The following is a 17,180-nucleotide window of genomic DNA, read 5'->3' as shown; positions in this document are numbered from 1 at the left end:
TGGAGGTGGGTGGGTCAGGAAAGGCTTCCCAGAGCTTTGAGCTGGGTCCTGAAGGTTAAGAATGAGTGTTTTGGCCAGGTGCGGTGGCTCACACCTGTAATCCCGGCACTTTGGGAGGCTGAGATGGGCGGATCACTTGAGGTCAGGAGTTCCAGACCAGCCTGGTCAACATGGTGAAAGCTCATCTCTACTAAAAATACAAAAATTAGCCAGGTGTGATGGTGCAAGTCTCTAATCCCAGCTACTTGGGAGGTTGAGACAGGAGAATGGCTTGAACCCAGGAGGTGGAGGTTGCTGTGAGCCGAGATCGCCTCACTGCACTCTAGCCTGGGCGACAGCGAAACTCTGTTTCAAAAAAAAAAAAAAACAATGAGTGTGCTTAGCTCACATAGAGGGGAGAACTGGAGAAGGGCACAGAGATGTGAATGACACAGAGCCACAGATCATGCAGAACCATTGACCTTTGCTTCTAAAACTCATTGGGATGTTTCCAACCCTTCCACCTCACCCCCAAACACGCCTCACTCACCTGTTTTGCTGGGCAGAGAAGCTAACTGCACCTGTGGGGCACTGAGCACCTGTGATGGCTGTCGCCCTGGTATAGGCAGTGAGGACAGAGCTACCTACCACTTACTGAGACCCTGCCAGTGCCTGGCTTTGTGCTCAGGGCTTCGCATAGTGCATCATTGCCTTCTGCACTATGTGACGGCCCCGAAGGGTGCGAGTCATGGTATCTAGCTTTATTTAGCTTACAGCTACTTTAGGAAAGTGAAACAGGGAATAATTAAGTGCTCGAGGATTGCTGTGCTGTTGCCTCAAAGAACAGGAGACCTTTAGGAAGGGGAGAAATGTGGCTGGAATGAACATGGAGCAGAGATCTTTGTGCAGACACCTTCACCAGACCCTTCTAAGAGGGAGGGAAGGTGACCAATCAGGCAATGGCCGTGACACCGGTTAAGGCTCTTTGCAGGCTCTGAGTACTAGGTATGGGCAGGCACCTGTTGGGGAGCCCAGCCAGCTGCAGGAAAAGTCTGGGTGAGGAGTCAGTGAGAAATAAGACAGTAGGTGGGCGGGGCTGGATGAAGCATCTGGAACTCCAGAGGGGTGTAGACTTGGCCAGGGCTCCTCAGACTGGTGGCAAACACAACCACACCTGTCAAAGGCTTGCCTCTTCACTCCATCTTCTCCAACCCGGGTGATTCCCGGGCCTCCTGAATGGTCTTGCGGCTCCACTGCTGTCTGCCTGCAGGCAGCTCTCCCCAGAGCAGCCGCAGGGAGCTTTGAGACCTGTAAACCAGAGCATGGTGTTTCCCCTGCTGAAAACCTTTCAAATGCTTCCTGATGAACTTGGGAGAAAATGCAAGGAAAGTGTGGCCCACCCCTTTCTCCACTTCATGCCCCACTACCCTTTCCCTGTTCCAGTCGCACCGGCCTTCCTGTGTCCCTAACGCACATCTGCCTTGCCAGGCCTGTTCCTCCATACAGCTGTGGCATTTGCTCGATCCCCAGCCTGGAGCACTGCCCATAGACTGCCTCGCGCCGGTGCTCTCCTTCAGGCCCTAGATCAAACGTCATCTCTTCAGAGAGGCCTCCCTGACTGTCCAGTCTAACGGGCAGCACACGCCCCACCAGCTGCCTCTACCCCCATGTCAGACACTATTCTGGATCTGAGGACACAGCCAGGAACAAGACAGAAGAGGCTCCTGATGTCAGGGGGCTCCCATGCCAGCATGGAGCATTGGATGTGGACAAAGCAGTGTCAGGTAGTGGTAAGTGTCCTGAAGAAGGCAGACATGAGGGAGAGGTGGGGCTGCTGGATGGCCAGCAAGGGTTCTCTAAGGAGCTGGTGTCTGAGCTGAGACCCAAAGGACAAGAAGAGCTCATCTTCCAAAGACCAGGGCCCCTGAGGGGGGTGTGCTTGAGGAACCTGAAGTGCGGGGGAAGAGGGGAAGCATGGTGTGAGAATGGAGAAGAGGGCAGGGGCCAGATCATGCCAGGCCCGTGGGCCTGGGGCTAGGATTCATGGTGCTGTGTGGCACCATCAAAGGCTCTTGAGTAGCATGACATGGTCTGACCTGGGGAGGGATGTGCGGACAGCCTGGGAGTGCGATAGAGTCGGCTCAGGCCCTGGGCTGGCCCCACTCAGTGTCCTGCCTGCCAGCAGCTCAAGCTGGGTCTATGAGGGCAACAGAGTAAAGCTTCCCGACAGGCACCACTGGCCAAGCCAGCAGTGGGATGGAAGCTCCAGCCTAGGAGAGCTGCTAGCAGGGAGGGGCGAGCAGGACGCTGGAGCAGAGTGGGCGTGGAGTCAGGGGCACATTGGGGAGGGAGGGGCTGAGTGGGCACCAGGCTCTGCTGGACTCCTGCTGGCCACCCCTCCCTTGCTGAGCCTCAGCGCCTGCAGGCAAACAGTCACCAGACCTGTCATGTGGGAGGCGTGGCATTGCTGAACACCAGGGTTGGACATGCGTGTTCCCTGCTGAACCCTATGGTCGTGGCCTGGGGAGTTGTCAGGTCAGGAAAGGGCAGACCTAGAATCAGAACCAGACTTTAGCACTGGGAGGGATCCTAGAGACTGCAGAAGTCCAGGAGGAGAAGATAAGGGGTTAGGGAATCAAAAGACCAGGACTGAAACCCCCCTCCCCCACTTGCAACTTTGTGGTCCCCATGTGCAAAGGTGTGGAGGTTAAATGAGAATGCTGAGGCGAGCACCTAGCAGTAAGGGCTTCTAAATGTCTGACATGATGACAGAGCCCGGCCCATCCCCCTCAGCTCACAGAGGAAGCAGAGGCCAGGGCGGAAGTGACTTGCTTAAGGGCCACAGAGCTGCATTGAGCTCAGCTCCCCGACCTCTAGTCCAGGCTCTCCTGTGATGCTATAAGTGGTCCTTCTTCCCACATCGTTCCCTCCGCAGAGGTGAGGCGGCCTCCTGCCTGTCCCACTTTCTTTTCAGCCTGCCTCTGAGCACCTACCATGCAGCAGACACAGTTGCGTGGTTGGTGGTTCCCACCCTGGAAGCGCTGGCACTGACACTTGTGTGTGGGAGACAGACATGTAAACAACTAAAACACAAGGCAGGCTGAAGTGCCGCAGGGACACAGCACGTTGCAGGTGGGCCCTGGGGGCAGATGGGGCTCCATCTGGCACTACCACTTACAATGGAATGGCAACGAGGCCCAAACCTAAGTTAGAACAGATCAAGAGGGCCTTGGATTCAATGCAGAGAAGTGTGGGCTCTTTCCTGAAGATGGGGGAACTGCAGAGGTTCTGGAGGAGCCATGACCATGACTGGCCTGTGTTTAGGATGAGGGCTCTCCTGGCTGATGGAGAAGGGACTAGATGAAGCTTTTCCCCCAGTGTTCTTGGCTCTGGGAATTTTCCGCCTCCTCCTTCCATGGATAATTATCCTTCCTAAGAAACTGATCAGATGGGAAACTGCAGGAAATTGTTTGGGACGGGGATTGTGTAGGAGTTGAGGGGAGAGTGGAGAGGATGTAGCCGGAGAGGGGTATCCGTGCCAAGCAGCAGGTGGTGGCTCCCTTCAGAGGGGAGGGAGGGAAGCCTGGGCAGGGCTGGGAATTTAGAGCAGGAAGATGCAGGTGCTTCTGGGGGAGCTGAGTCCCTCAAAACTCCTGGTCTTATCCTCGGTTGAGGAGAGGGGTTAGGGTGACTGGCAGGGTCTGACTTTTCTGGGTCAACAAGAGCTGGGGAAAGTGTGAGGCAGTGTGGCCCAGTGGGCGGGGCCAAGCCCAGGCCCAGCTCTGCTTGGAAATTCCCTTATTGTGGGCCAGGGCTAGTTAGGAGTGGTGAGTGTGCACTGGGCATCCTCCCTTGGCACAGAGCAGTCCTCCTCCTGCCCCCTGCTCCCAGCAGACCCAGAGCTTGAGTCGTGGACCTGGCTGCTGTCCCCTTGCTAGTTAAGCAGCAGTTCTCCATGAGCTGAGGCTTCTGGAGAGCCAGGCTTCCCTTAGTGACTGAACCACAGGGATGTGTGCTTAGCGCTGAGGATAAGGGGGTCCCCACATCTGAAGCCAGGAGCGAGACTGCCTCTAGAGGGGCCCAGAAGGCTCTGCAGGTGGAGATTCAAGGCATCCTTCTGGGCAGTCAGGGGCCAATAGAGACTGCAGAGTCCAACAGACCTGTCTGAATCCCAGCTCTACTACCTGCCTGCTATATGCCTGTAGGCTGATTATCTGACCTGTGTCATTTTTCTGCAGATAATTCTGGGGTAACCACAGTTCTGACTTGGATCATCATCAGTTGATCTTACCTGTTCTTGAACTTCATCTGAATGGAATCATAGGTACTCTTGTGTGTCTGGCTGCTTTTGCTCAGCCTATCTGTGAGATTCCTCTTCACTGTCACATGTACCAGAGGTTTGTTCATTTTATTGCTGTTCGGTGTTGCCTCGTATGAATACACCACAGTTGGCTCACTCTCCTGTTGATGGGCTTTTGGATTGGTTCCCTTTTTTTGACAATTGTGAATAAAGCTGCTCTGAGCATTCTTGTACTCCGTAGGGTTTTGTGAGAATTAAATGAAATAATCTGTGACAGTAAAGTGTTTAGTACTGAATTTTGACTCAGAGAGCAGGTGCTCAGAACATTTTCCCTCCAGATTTTTTTTTTTTTTTTTTTTTCCAGAAAAAAGGAAGAAATAAAAAAAAAAATCAAACACTGCTTAAGTATATAAAGAAGAAAAATGCAAGTTATACCCCTTTTACTCCCTTGCTTCTCGGGCCGAGCACTCTGAATAGTTCATCCTGGGCTTTTCTCTACAGTGGTGTGAACCACTTTTTCATAAAAAATGTTAATCTGTGCACAGTGGCTCACCCCTGTAATCCCAGCACTTTGGGAGACCAAGGTGGGAGCATCATTTGAACCTGGGAGTTTCAGACCAGCCTGGGCAACCTAGGGAGACCCTGTCTCTACAAAAATAAAATAAAAAATTAGTAGGGCATGGTGGCACAGGCCTGTGGTCCCAGCTACTTGGGAGGCTGAAGTGGGAGGATTGCTTGAGCTCAAGAGGTCGAGGCTGCAGTGAGCCATGATTGTGCCACTGCACTCCAGCCTGACAGAGCAAGACCCTGCCTTTAAAAAAAAAAAATTTGGCATAAAAACAACCATGCTGGTCTGGCATGGTGGCTCATGCCTGTAATCCCAGCACTTTGGGAGCCGAGGCAGGCAGATCACCTGAGGTCAGGAGTTGGAGACCAGCCTGGCCAACATGGTGAAACCCCATCTCTACTAAAAATACAAAAATTAACTGGGCATGGTGGCACATGCCTGAAGTCCCAGCTACTTGGGAGGCCAAGGTGGGAGAATCATTTGAACCCGGGAGGCAGAGGTTGCAGTGAGCCGAGATTGTACCACTGCACTCCAGCCTGGGTGACAGAGCAATTTGCTCTTGAAACAAACAAAATCGTGCTGTCTGTACTCTTTTGCAGCTTAACTTTTTAAATTAAATCGGATCTTTTGAAAGAGTTTCCTTATCGGCATCAAGAGAACAGCTTCAAGAGGGGAGAGTCTGGGATGGACCCTGAAACCAGTCACTTGCGGCCGTTCACCCTGGCCGGGCAGATTTCCTTCTAGGTGGAACCCAGGATCTGGCCAGAACCCAGGGTGTAAATCTTGGCTCTGTTGCTCCCTGTCTGGGTATGTTCTCAGGCTTAAATGCCCTGAGCTTTGGTTTTCTCATCTTTAATGTAGGAGGACCCTCGGAGAGATACCATGAGGTTTAAATGAAATAATGTACATGAAAGAGCAAAGCAAAATGAAAAGTGATGTGTGCTGGTTATTATGTAAAATCGTGGGCTGTCAGAGCTAGAGGAAAGCTTGGAGAAGTTAACCCAGCCCCATCATCTTATCTGTGAGGAAACTGTAGCCCAGGGAAGGTCACAGAGCCAGCAAGTAATAGAGCCAAAACTGAACCAAGGGTTTCTGAACCCCAGGAGTCTGCACTGTTCCTCTTCCTGGGCAGTGGGAACTCCCCTGGAGGGTTCTCACTCTCTCTGGGCCAGAGCTCAGCTCTGACCGACTCACTTCTTAACTGTAGGGCTTCCTGCTACAGTGGAAAGGCACTTTAGAAAATGTCCAGGGCTCAGGCCGGGCGCGGTAGCTCATGCCTGTAATCCTAGCACTTTGGGAGGCTGAGGTGGGTAGGTCACGAGGTCAGGAGTTCAAGACCAGCCTGGCCAAGATGGTGAAACTCCGTCTCTACTAAAAATACAAAAATTAGCAGGGTGTGGTGGCAGGCACCTGTAATTCCAGCTACTCGGGAGGCTGCGGCAGGAGAATTGCTTGAACTGGGGCAGCAGAGGTTGCAGTGAGCCGAGATCGCGCCACTGCACTCCAGCCTAGGCAACAGACTGAGATTCTGTCCCAAAAAAAAAAAAAAAAATTACCAGGGCTCCAGTTCTTCTCTCCCCTTCCCTAGCTGAGGGACTTCCAGGCAGTGAAGTATGCCCAACATCCTCTGGTCTAAGAAGGCAGTGGAGTGGCCATTTGGATGGGGCGGGAGATGCTGACCCAATAGGGCACATAGCACCCTTCCCGTCCTAACTACCTCTAAACCTGGGCCTCAGTTCCCTGCTCCCACCAGGCTCACTCCCATCCCCAAGAAGTCAAGCCAGGACCCCACTCCCTCACCTCTTAGTCAGATGAAGTCCTGGCTTTGAGTAGTCTCTTACACTTCTTCTAGCTCAGTGTTTGGGTCTCCTCAGCTTCAGGAAAATAAAGAGGGGGCCCCCATACTTATGAGATTACAACCTAGGTTGACGTCAAGAATCAGGAAATGGGCCAGGTGTGATGGCTCATGCCTGTAATCACAGCACTTTGGGAGGCCAAGCACAGGTGGGTCGCTTGAGGTCAGGAGTTTGAGACCAGCCTGGCCAACATGATGAAACCACATCTCTACTAAAAAATACAGAAATTAGCCGGGCGTGGTGGTGCATGCCTGTAATCCCAGCTGCTGGGGAGGCTGGGGCACAAGAATCGCTTGAACCCAGGAGACGGAGGTTGCAGTGAGCTGAGATCACACCACTGCACTCCAGCCTGGGCAAGAGAGTGAGACTCCGTCTCAAAAAAAAAAAAAGAATCAGGAAACAAAACCCTGACGGGCTTGGGCTAGGCCTTTGCCTCACCCACCCTGCTCCCTCCCAGGAAGCATTTGGCATGATAAGATTTCCATGGTACGGGGCCAGGTGGGTCCCACTCTCCCGGGTGTTTAGCTACCACGTCACAGTGCAGTACCAGGTACCAGGCAGTGGAAATGGCTCCTGGTGCTCCAGCGTCCGCCCTTCCCTGGAGCCACAGCTCATTAAGCAAGCACTGTGGCAATGATAATCAGGGAGCCAGGCGGGGCTGTCCGAAAGTGCCCTGTTGGCCTAGGGTGGGAGTTGGGGAGGGACTGCCAGCCCTGGTATCTGCTTTCAGGATGAGGTCATGGAGTGACACTCATTCCAGTGGCAGTGAACAGTGATGAGAAAAAGTCCTGCTCTAATTGTAGGAGGCACCCCCACCTCATGTTTCAGTACTTGCTTTGTCTGGTCCTATGCTAGGCTCTCTGCCTTCATCATTTTGAGTGGTCCTCACCTGACCCTGTGAGGAGGGGAGAGGCATCTTCATTTTAAAAATAAAGACCCTGATGTCCAGAGAGAGTAACTAACTTACCCAGGATCACACACACAAGAAAGCAGTGGAACCGGGTGACCTTGAATCCTAGGGAGTCAGGGCAAAAGAGCCATTTGAGGTCACATAGTCCATTCCCCTCATTATATGGCCGAGCAAACCCGAGACCCAGAGTGTCACTTCCTGAAAGAGGGTAGTATGGGGACTGGTGCTCAGGGACAGTGTTCTTTCCTCTCCATTGATGACAACAGTCACCATTATACTGAGGCCCCCAGCCTGCTCCTTTGAACATTCTGGGAGAACTGTGGTTATGTCCTCCTTTTGGAGAATTGAGAAAATACTCATCCAGATCATTTTCTCTGTGGCTCGTATGAGGAAGTAGTTGAGCATGAGTACCTGTCTGCTCTAGAGTCAGTTTCTGGGCTTGAGTCCTGCTTGGCCCTGTAACCTAGCCTCTCTGAGCCTCAGTTTCCTCATCTGTGATATTGGTGTGATAGCACCTACCTCTTTGAATAGTTGTGAGGATTAAGAAGCCTTCAATAAGTGTAGCCATAATTTTATATATATATATATATATATATATATATATTTTTTTTTTCTTCTTCTTCTTCTTTTTGAGACGGATTCTCCCTCTATTGCCCAGGCTAGAATGCAGTGGTGCCGTCTATGCTCACTGCAACCTCTGCCTCCTGGGTTCAAGCAGTTCTCCTGCCTCAGCCTCCCATGTAGCTGAGATTATGGGATTATAGGGGTGTGCCACCATGCCTGGATAATTTTTTTTTTTTTTTTTTGAGACAGAGTCTCATTCTGTTGCCAGGCTGGAGTGCAGTGGTGCGATCTCAGATCACTGCAACTCCACCTCCTGGGTTCAAGCAATTCTCCTGCCCCAGCCTTCTGAGTAGCTGGGACTACAGGCGCGCGCCACCACGCCCAGCTAATTTTTGTGTTTTGAGAAGAGACAGGGCTTCACCATGTTGACCAGGATGGTCTTGATCTCTTGACCTTGTGATCCACCCACCTTGGCCTCCCAAAGTACTCGGATTACAGGCATCAGCCACCGTGCCCTGCCTCTTTTTTTTTTTTTTTTTTTTTTTTTTGTATTTTTAGTAGAGACGGGGTTTCACCATGTTGGCCAGGCTGGTCTTGAACTCTTGACCTCAAGTGATCCACTCCCCCTAAGCCTCCCAAAGTGCTGAGAGTACAGGCGTGAGCCACCACACCCAGCCACTATCATTATTATTAACATCCCCATTTCAACTGGACGCTGCGTGACAGGGCTCGTTAGAACCATGGTCTGGGGGTGGGTGGCAAAAAAGAAAAAAGAACCACGGCTCTTGCCTGAATTCTTGACCCTCCTTGTCCTGCCCAGTGGTGGCTGCTTCCCCAGTTCTGGCTGCCCCAGGCATCTCCCCTGCCCTGCTGGAGGGAGGCATGTACACCTTGTGCCAGTGCCATGTGTGGGATCACACGATGGGCCCTGCCCAGTCTCAGCAGCCAGCACAGGCCAGGCGGAAGTGGGCACTGACAAAGGCTTCCTTATCTCCTTCCTGGGCATGGGGCACTTCTATGGGGTGAACTGGTTGGCAGACAAGTAGGCAGGCAGGCAACCTCTCAGCCTGCCTGGAGCCCTTGGCCCTTTGTGCTCAGCTTATCACCAGTGGGCTCTAGAACCTGTGCCCTGAGGACCAGAGTGCCAGCAGGAAGCAGTTAACCAGGCCCGGCTTGAGGGCAGAGCTTGGCTTCTGGGATCAAATACCAGTTTGGTTGTTTCCTGGCTGTGTGTCATTTGAGCTAGTTCATTAAGCTCTGAGCCTCAATTTCTCTACTGGAAAATTGAAACAGTAGTGTCTACCTCATGGCATTGCTGAGGCTAAATGAGAAGGCACAGGGCTTCGTAGTAATTCTCCCTTCCCACAGTGGCATGTGCTGGAGGGCTGCACTGTGTCTCCTGAGGCATTGCACATGGGTTTTGAGCAGAGGCCTGCAGGCTAGACCCAGTCTGGGGAGCTGCTGTCAGTGGAGCTCCATTTCCCATTACTAGGGTGCCAAATAGCTCCTGCTTCTCTCCTTGCAAGGCACACACAGAACCAGGGCACACTGGTACTGCTAGGGATCTTAGAAAGACCAGCAGTTTAGGCCGGGTGCGGTGGCTCACGCCTGTAATCCCAGCACTTTGGGAGGCCGAGGCAGGCGGATCACGAGGTCAAGCGTTCGAGACCAGTCTGGCCGACATAGTGAAACCCTGTCTCTACTAAAAATACACAAAAAATTAACCGAGTGTGGTGGCGGGCGCCTGTAATCCCAGCTACTCAGGAGGCTGAGGCGGGACAATCGCGTGAACCCAGGAGGCGGAGGTTGCAGTGAGCCAAGATTGTGCCACTGCACTCCAGCCTGAGCGACAGAATGAGACTCTGTCTCAAAAAACAAACAAACAAACAAAATGAAAGACCAACAGTTTAGAATGGGTGAGTGACCTGCCCAAGGTCACACAGCAAAGGAGTGACAGACCTGGCAATAAACCAGGGCTCCTGCTCCCCACACCCACCATTTGGTCCAGAAAACTGGGGCTCAGAGCTGCAGGCAGCATGGTTGGGGCCATGGCTCTGGAGTCAGACCATTTCTCTCTGCCCCGGTTTCCTCAGCTGTAGAATGAGGAGGGTGATCCCTGTGTCAGAGGGCTGCTAGGAGAATCGTGATTGAAGTATACAGAGCATCAAAGTGAGGCACTCAATAGAAGGTAGTTTAAAAAAAAGAAGTGGGAGTGGAATGGGGGGGTTGGCACCATGTTCCAAGCAAGGACCAGTTTTGGAGTGGACCATCCTGGGTGTGTGTGCCAGCTCTGCTACCACTTTGCTGTGTAACGTCAACCAAGTTCCGTCCCCTCTCTGGGCTTCATCCTTTGCATCTGTAAAATAGAGGGGTTGCACTGGATGGTCTCAGAGGGCCCTCCCTCTTCTAATCTCTGACTTCTTGCTGCCCCTCTTCTCCCACAGGAGAGAGCTGACCTCCCATTGCTGTTTCTAGAGCCCTGGGCCTTCCTGGCACCAGGACCAAGCCCTGCAGCTGGCCGTGTCCTCATCTTTTCTCTGCAGTGTCCTCTAAAGGGCAGCCTCCTCTGAGCATGCTCAGTTCTCCTATCCACTCTACATCTCGTGGCTCCTAGAGGCCTGAAGTGACAAACTATCCCCAGTGTGGTGGGAGAGGAGGCAGGGAGAGGCCCTCCAAGCATGCCCTGTCTCTCCCACCACACAGAGCCCAGCCAGCTGGATCGTTATCAGAAGTGTATGGGAGACCCTTAGGGGACCCCCTTGAGATAGAGGATCCAGTATCAGGAAAGCTCACCCATCTTGCTGGTATTGTGCAGGAGGCAGTGCCTGCTGCCCATGGAGCCTTAATGCTGTGCAGTTGGACAGCTTCCCCCTCAGGTGCCTGTTTAGGAGAAGCTCTTGCCTCCCTAGTGCTGCCAGCTTGCCTCTGGGACCCTGCCGCTGCTGGTTTCTGGGAATCTAGATCTGCACGGGAGTGTCTGGCATGCGTGCGTGCGTGCATGCATTTGTTTGTTTGTTTGTTTGTTTGTTTATGGAGTTTCCCTCTTTTTGCCCAGGCTGGAGTGCAATGGCGTGAGGATCTCGGCTCACTGCAACCTCCACCTCCTGGGTTCAAGTGATTCTCCTGCCTCAGCCTCCCAAGTAGCTGGGATTACAGGCATGCACCACTACGCCCGGCTAATTTTGTATTTTTAATAGAGATGGGGTTTCACCATGTTGGCCAGGCTGGTCTCAAACTCCTGACCTCAGGTGATCCGCCCGCCTTGGCGTCTCAAAGTGCTGGGATTATAGGCATGAGCCACCACGCCTGGCCTTTTTTTTTTTTTTTTTTAAAGACAGGGTCTCACCCTGTTGCCCAGGATAGAGTGCAGTTGGCATGATCTCGGCTCACTGAAACCTCAACCTCCCGGGCTCAGGTGATCCTCCCACCTCAGCCTCCCTAGTAGCTGGGACTACAGGTATGCACCAGCCATGCCCAACTAATTTTTAAATTTTTTGTAGAGATGGGTTTTGCCACGTTACCCAGGCTGCTCTCAAACTCCTGGGCTCAAGTGATCCTCTCGCCTCGGCCTCCCCCGCTGCTGGGATTCAGGTGTGAGCCACCTCCCCTGGCCTGGGCATATATTTTTGTTTTTGCTTTTTTCTGAGTGTTTCTGTCTCTGTTCTCTCCTCTTACAGCAACGCTGTGCCATAGACATTCTTTATCCCAATGTTAGAAAGGAAGAAACTGAGGTTCAGGGCAGTACCGTGATTTGCCTTATTAGGTCACAGAGAAGTTAAGATTTAGAATTGGGACAGAAACTACCTCCCTCATTGATGGACCAGAGCTCTTTACGCTGCCCGCTGCTGCCTCGTGCAAGCTTGCTATGGCACGAATGCTATTCTGTACCCAGATGCCACAGTTGCTGGCATGGACAGAGATGGTGAGTATCACAGAGCCCGACTTTGTCCAGCTGCAGAGTTCATCAGTCAGATGTCAGAGGTAGAGAGGCTCTCAACAAGCCCCCAAGGATGGAGAGACTGAGACCAAAGAGAAGCAACGGCTTGTTCAAAGCCCACAGAATGTTAGTGGCTGAGTCTAGACTGAAGCCCAGTTCCCCTGATCCCCAGCCTGGGCTTGACTCAGGCCTTTCTTTTCTCAGAATTGTAGTTTTCTGGTCTTTTGAGGCATTTGGAGGTAGGATGGAGGGGGTGCTCACCCATCCTGCTGGTATTGTGCAGGAGGCAGTGCCAGCTGTCCCTGGAGCTGAGACTAAATGGCTGTGCATTTGGACAACTTTGCCCTATGCCAGGTGCTGAGCCTGGGTGGCCAGCGCTGTCTCCCTTGACCACCTCCCTGAAGTGGCAGAATTTCATGTTGTTCCCCAGGCCAGAGCCCTCCAGTGGCTCTGCCTGGCTCAGCAGGGTGATTGGGAATTCTCTCCCTGCAGGGTATTTGTGGCCTTTCATAACTGGCCTTGGCTGAGCGCTGGATTGGGAGTCAGTAGTTCTGGGTTTGGGACCTGCCTCCGCTGCTACCCATGTGATCTTGGGCCTGTGTCTGGACCTCTCTCAATGTCTGTTCTCTCATCTGTTGCCCACTGCCAGGGCATGTTGTGAGGGCGAGAGAAAAGTCTGCTTTACAGCATCTAAGTAATGATTTCCACTCCAGTCCACTGCCATTTGCTCCAATAGAAAGCCTCTACCTGGGCTGGGCTCAGTGGCTCACGCCTGTAATCTCAGCACTTTGGGAGGCAAAGCAGGCAGATCTCTTGAGCTCAGGAGTTTGAGACCAGCCTGGGCAACATGGCAAAACCCCTATCTCTACAAAAAATACAAAAACTAGCTAGGCATGGTGGCACGCGCCTGTAGTCCCAGTTACATGGGGGGCTGAGGTGAGAGAATCACTTGAGCCCAGGAAGTCAAGGCTGCAGTGAGCCATGTTCGTACCACTGCACTCCAGCCTGGGCAACACAGCCAGACTCTGTTTTCCCTGCCCCCTCCCCCCGCAAAAAATAAATCTTCTACCTGTACCACACTCGTTTCCCTGTCCTGTCTTTCCAGATGCTGCTGATTTGCCTGCCAGGCCTTCTTGGTGCCTAACTCTCACCCTTCCTTCAAGGAAAAGGCCAATTCAGCTGGAGCTTAGTGTCCATGTGCTTAGTGCCAAACACTGGAGATTAAGTTAAACCCAAAAATATATACACAAAAGGGAAGGAAAAAAAGTTAAACCAGACATGACTTCTGCCCTCAAACAGTTCTGCTAGCTCAACAAGTCTTTATCCTTACTATGTGTCAGGCTCCGTGCTGAGGCCTAGAGAGTCAAAGATGAATAGGACAGGGTCCCTAGCCTTGCTTGCAGGTAGAAACTTGCTTGTGGTCTGGAGGGGGAGACAGACCAACCAGCTGTGCCGTGTCATCAGACTCTTAATAGAGGGCTGTGTGGTCCCAGGCTCTGCAGGCCACAGAACTGAGCGTGACTGGGTTCTGCTCCCTGGGGTATTTAGGAAAAACTGCTGAGCAGCACCTTGGAAGAGTGGCTCTCCAAGGGACAAGCTGATGGTGACCCCCCCGACAACATCTTGTGGTTCGCCCAGTGCTTTTGTGTTTGTGGTCTCATGTAATCCTCACAACCTTGTGAGGTCACTGAGGTAAGAGAAAGTCATCCATCCAGCAAACATTGATTGTGAACCTCCTGTGTGCCAGGTACAGCCTAAGGTGCCAGGGATACAACAGTGATTGGGACAGAGGCTGCCCTCACGAGGCTTATGTTCTGGGTGGGGAACGGTCAGAAAGCACATCTAGACGTCAGGAAGTGGCAAGGGTAAGCGGATAGAGAGGGTTGGGAGGACCTCTCTGGGGAGGTGGCATCTGAGCAGGGACCTGAAGGAAGGGAGGGAATCTGTCATTCACCTACATGGGGAATAGTGTCTCAGGCACAGGGAACAGCAAATGCAAAGGCCCTGAGGTGGGGGCATGTTTGTGCTCAAGGAAAAGCAAGGAGGCCAGTAGAGCTAGGGGACAGTGAGTGGAGATTCAGGTGTGGTGGAAAGACGCGGAGGGGGATGTAGTCCCTGCCTTTCAGTAGTATGTCTTACCTCTTAAAAAGCTTCACTCTTGGCTGGGCACAGTGGCTCATGACTGTAATCTCAGCACTTTGGGAGGCTGAGGTGGGCGGATCACGAGGTCAAGAGATCGAGACCACCCTGGCCAACATGGTGAAACCTCATCTACTAAAAATACAAAAATTAGCTGGACGTGGTGGCATACGCCTATAGTCCCAGCTACGCAGGAGGCCGAGGCAGGAGAATCGCTTGAACCCAGGAGGCAGAGGTTGCAATGAGCCAAGATTGCGCCACTGCACTCCGGCCTGGAGACAGAGTGGGACTCCGTCTCAAAAAGAAAAAAAAAGCTTCACTCTTGGCTGGTGTAGGAAGAGCCTGGGGGGCAAGAGTGGATATGTGGGCTGGGCGCAGTGGCTCAGGCCTGTAATCTCAACACTTTGGGAGGCCACGGTGGGCAGATCACTTGAGGCCAGGGGTTCGACACCAGCCTCACCAACATGGTGAAATCCTGTCTCTATTGAAAATACAAAAATTGGCCAGGTGTGGTAGCATGTGCCTGTAATGCCAGCTACTCAGGTGGCTGAGGCACAAGAATCACTTGAACCCAGGAGGCGGAGGTTGAAGTGAGCCAAGATTGCGCCACTGCACTCCAGCCTAGATGACAGAGCAAGACTGTTTCTCAAAAAAAAAAAAAAAAAAAAAAAAAAGAAAGAAAAGGAAGGAAGGAAAAGAGAAGAGAGACTGATTGGATGCTGCTGCAGTGGTCCAGGCAAGTGATTGTGCTGGCTTGGATGGGTGTTAGCAGTGGAGGCGGTGAGAAGTGTCAGGGTCTGTTCATGTCTAGAAGGCAGAACCAGCAGGGTTTGGTGATGGATTGGATGTCAGGAGTGAGAGGAAGAAAGGAGTTAGGACAACTCCAAAATTTGGGGCCTGAGGAGCAGGTTTGGGGACGAGAAAATAAGAATTTCCTGTCAGGAGCACCCAGCTCCTGTGCATTTGCCATTCTGCAGTCCACCCCATGCACACCGTAACACACCAGCCTAAGGATGCTCATGCCCCCACCTCTGGGAAGGCCCCCCATCTTTTCTGCCCTACTCCAGGCTCTGTCCCCTGAGAGTCATTTTCTCTCACTGATCCTTTTCTGGCCCTTCTGAGAGGTCACTAAAATGTCCAAGTGGAGGATGGCTAACACCCCTTCTTCATCACTGCCCTCAGATGCTGTGAGGGCACACAATAGACCCCATAAAGCTGATAAAGCTACTAGGGATAGAAGGGGCCCCAGTTGCCTCCCAGAGGCTGCTGGTCTGTCTTCCCCACCCAGCCAGTGCCGCCTGTGTTTTGTTCTTCCTTTGCGGTCCCCCGCATTCCTTGTAGTGCTGAAAATAGGACACTGTGACTTGCTTTCTGCAGGGCAATTGTCCTGGAAATTGTAGAATTTCTTTTTGTGTTGCTTTCCTACTGGTACCTCTTTATATTCCACCTCTGTAGCCAAGTAGGATGAGATTTCAAGCAAGTTGAAGTTATATATAATGAATTTAACACATTGGTAAGCTTCTAAGCTAACTGACTTTCAACTGGAAGCAATACTAAGAACAACAGATATTTGGTATACTCAATTTTTTTTTTCTCTCAGATTTGCATTTTGCAAGCTCTACTGTACCCCCAGCAAAGAGGAAAGAAAAATCTAGCTCTCCCATGGCTCTAAAGTTTCTAGAAATGGAAGCTCTCTTACTGAGCCTCTGTTTCTTCCCCCACCTCTGCCCCACCCCAGGTGTGGGGCAAACTGGTACCTGGAGCACCTGATACCATCTGTAAGTCCTGACAGCAGTCTGGCAAGAGGCAAGGACAGGCCAGGGATAGAGATGGAGTGGGGAACGGAGCACCTGAGCTGGGGAGCCACACATCCGGGACACTGGGAAAGGAAAGGAGGGAGATGGTGGCTTGAAATACAAAATTAGCCGGGCGTGGCACACACCTGTAATCCCAGCTACTCAGGACGCTGAGGCAGGAGAATCGCTTGAACCCGGGAGGCGGAGGTTGCAGTGAGCCAAGATCGTGCCACTGCCCTCCAGCCTGGGTGACTGTGCGGGACTCCGTCTCAAAAAAAAAATTTTTTTTTAAAGCCCAATAAAAGGGCTGGGCGCGGTGGCTCACGCCTGTAATCCCAGCACTTTGGGACGCCAAGGCAGGTGGATCAGCTGAGGTCAGGAGTCCAAGACCAGCCTGGCCAGCATAGTGAAACCCCATCTCTACTAAAAACACAAAAATTAGCCAGGTGTGGTGGTGGGCACCTGTAATCCCAGCTACTCGGGAGGCTGAGGCAGGAGAATCACTTGAACCCAGGAGGCGGAGGTTGCAGTGAGCCAAGATTGTGCCATTGCACTCCAACACTCCAGCCTGGGTGACAGAGCGAGACTCTGTCTAAAAAAAAAAAAGCCCAATAAAAATAAAAAGTGGATAATAATTATACCTACTGCATTAGGGTTGTTGAGAGAATTAAATGAGATGCCTCAGTACTTAGTGCAGTCTCTGCCCCATAGAAGCAGTTGAAGCACAGCATGTGTGATTTACCATTCACACATAATTTTAAATAACCTATAGATACAGAAAAGTCTTCAAGAATATATACCAAACTTAACAGAAATTCGGTTGTGGGGGAGACTGGTATAGTTGGTAAAAGGGAAGGGGGAGAATCACTGTGAGATGATTTTCCTTATACTTAAACACTTATATGACTGTTAGAAAAAAATTTTAATGACCATAAGTTTTATTTAAAATCACCAAAGCAATATAATATATTTCCATTTTGAGAAAATCAAAAGAAACCAGTGTGTATCATATGGTCACCTACCAGACACCCAATCCAGCCATGAGAGTCTTTGGAGCTTGAGGTCCTACCCCTGCCCCAAGTAAAGCCGACCCCCTGAGCTGCCCCCCACCGCTTCCCCAGGTAACCCCCT

At 51.9% G+C, this 17,180-nt stretch overlaps 1 protein-coding gene across 4 annotated transcripts in view, besides 2 other annotated features; it reads left to right on the top strand.

Annotated features, from left to right (window-relative positions):
• Positions 1-17,180, top strand: part of SLC9A1 (solute carrier family 9 member A1) — a 56,317-nt gene that overhangs the window by 14,961 nt on the left and 24,176 nt on the right. The window contains exons 2-4 of one of the 4 annotated variants that reach the window (XM_047428769.1): positions 1,468-1,769; positions 4,218-4,303; positions 5,447-5,654. The exons of the other annotated variants lie outside the window; for them this stretch is intronic. The gene's annotated coding sequence lies outside the window, so the exon portion shown is untranslated. The remainder of the gene's footprint in view (positions 1-1,467; positions 1,770-4,217; positions 4,304-5,446; positions 5,655-17,180) is intronic. 4 annotated transcript variants of the gene reach the window in all.
• Positions 1,844-2,655: an enhancer, noted in NCBI's record as "H3K27ac-H3K4me1 hESC enhancer chr1:27464001-27464812 (GRCh37/hg19 assembly coordinates)". NCBI's record gives its function as "activates a minimal SCP1, AML or CMV promoter by ChIP-STARR-seq in naive H9 embryonic stem cells {active_cell/tissue: H9 hESC(naive)}" and the evidence as "EXISTENCE:reporter gene assay evidence [ECO:0000049][PMID:30033119]".
• Positions 4,252-4,321: an enhancer, noted in NCBI's record as "active region_538". NCBI's record gives its function as "activates an Ori minimal core promoter by ATAC-STARR-seq in GM12878 lymphoblastoid cells {active_cell/tissue: GM12878}" and the evidence as "EXISTENCE:reporter gene assay evidence [ECO:0000049][PMID:35858748]".

This window comes from Homo sapiens, chromosome 1 (genome assembly GCF_000001405.40).
Source record: "Homo sapiens chromosome 1, GRCh38.p14 Primary Assembly".
NCBI lineage: Eukaryota > Metazoa > Chordata > Mammalia > Primates > Hominidae > Homo > Homo sapiens.
The sequence above is the reverse complement of the archived record's forward strand: the minus strand, read 5'-3'. Positions and strand labels throughout refer to the sequence as shown.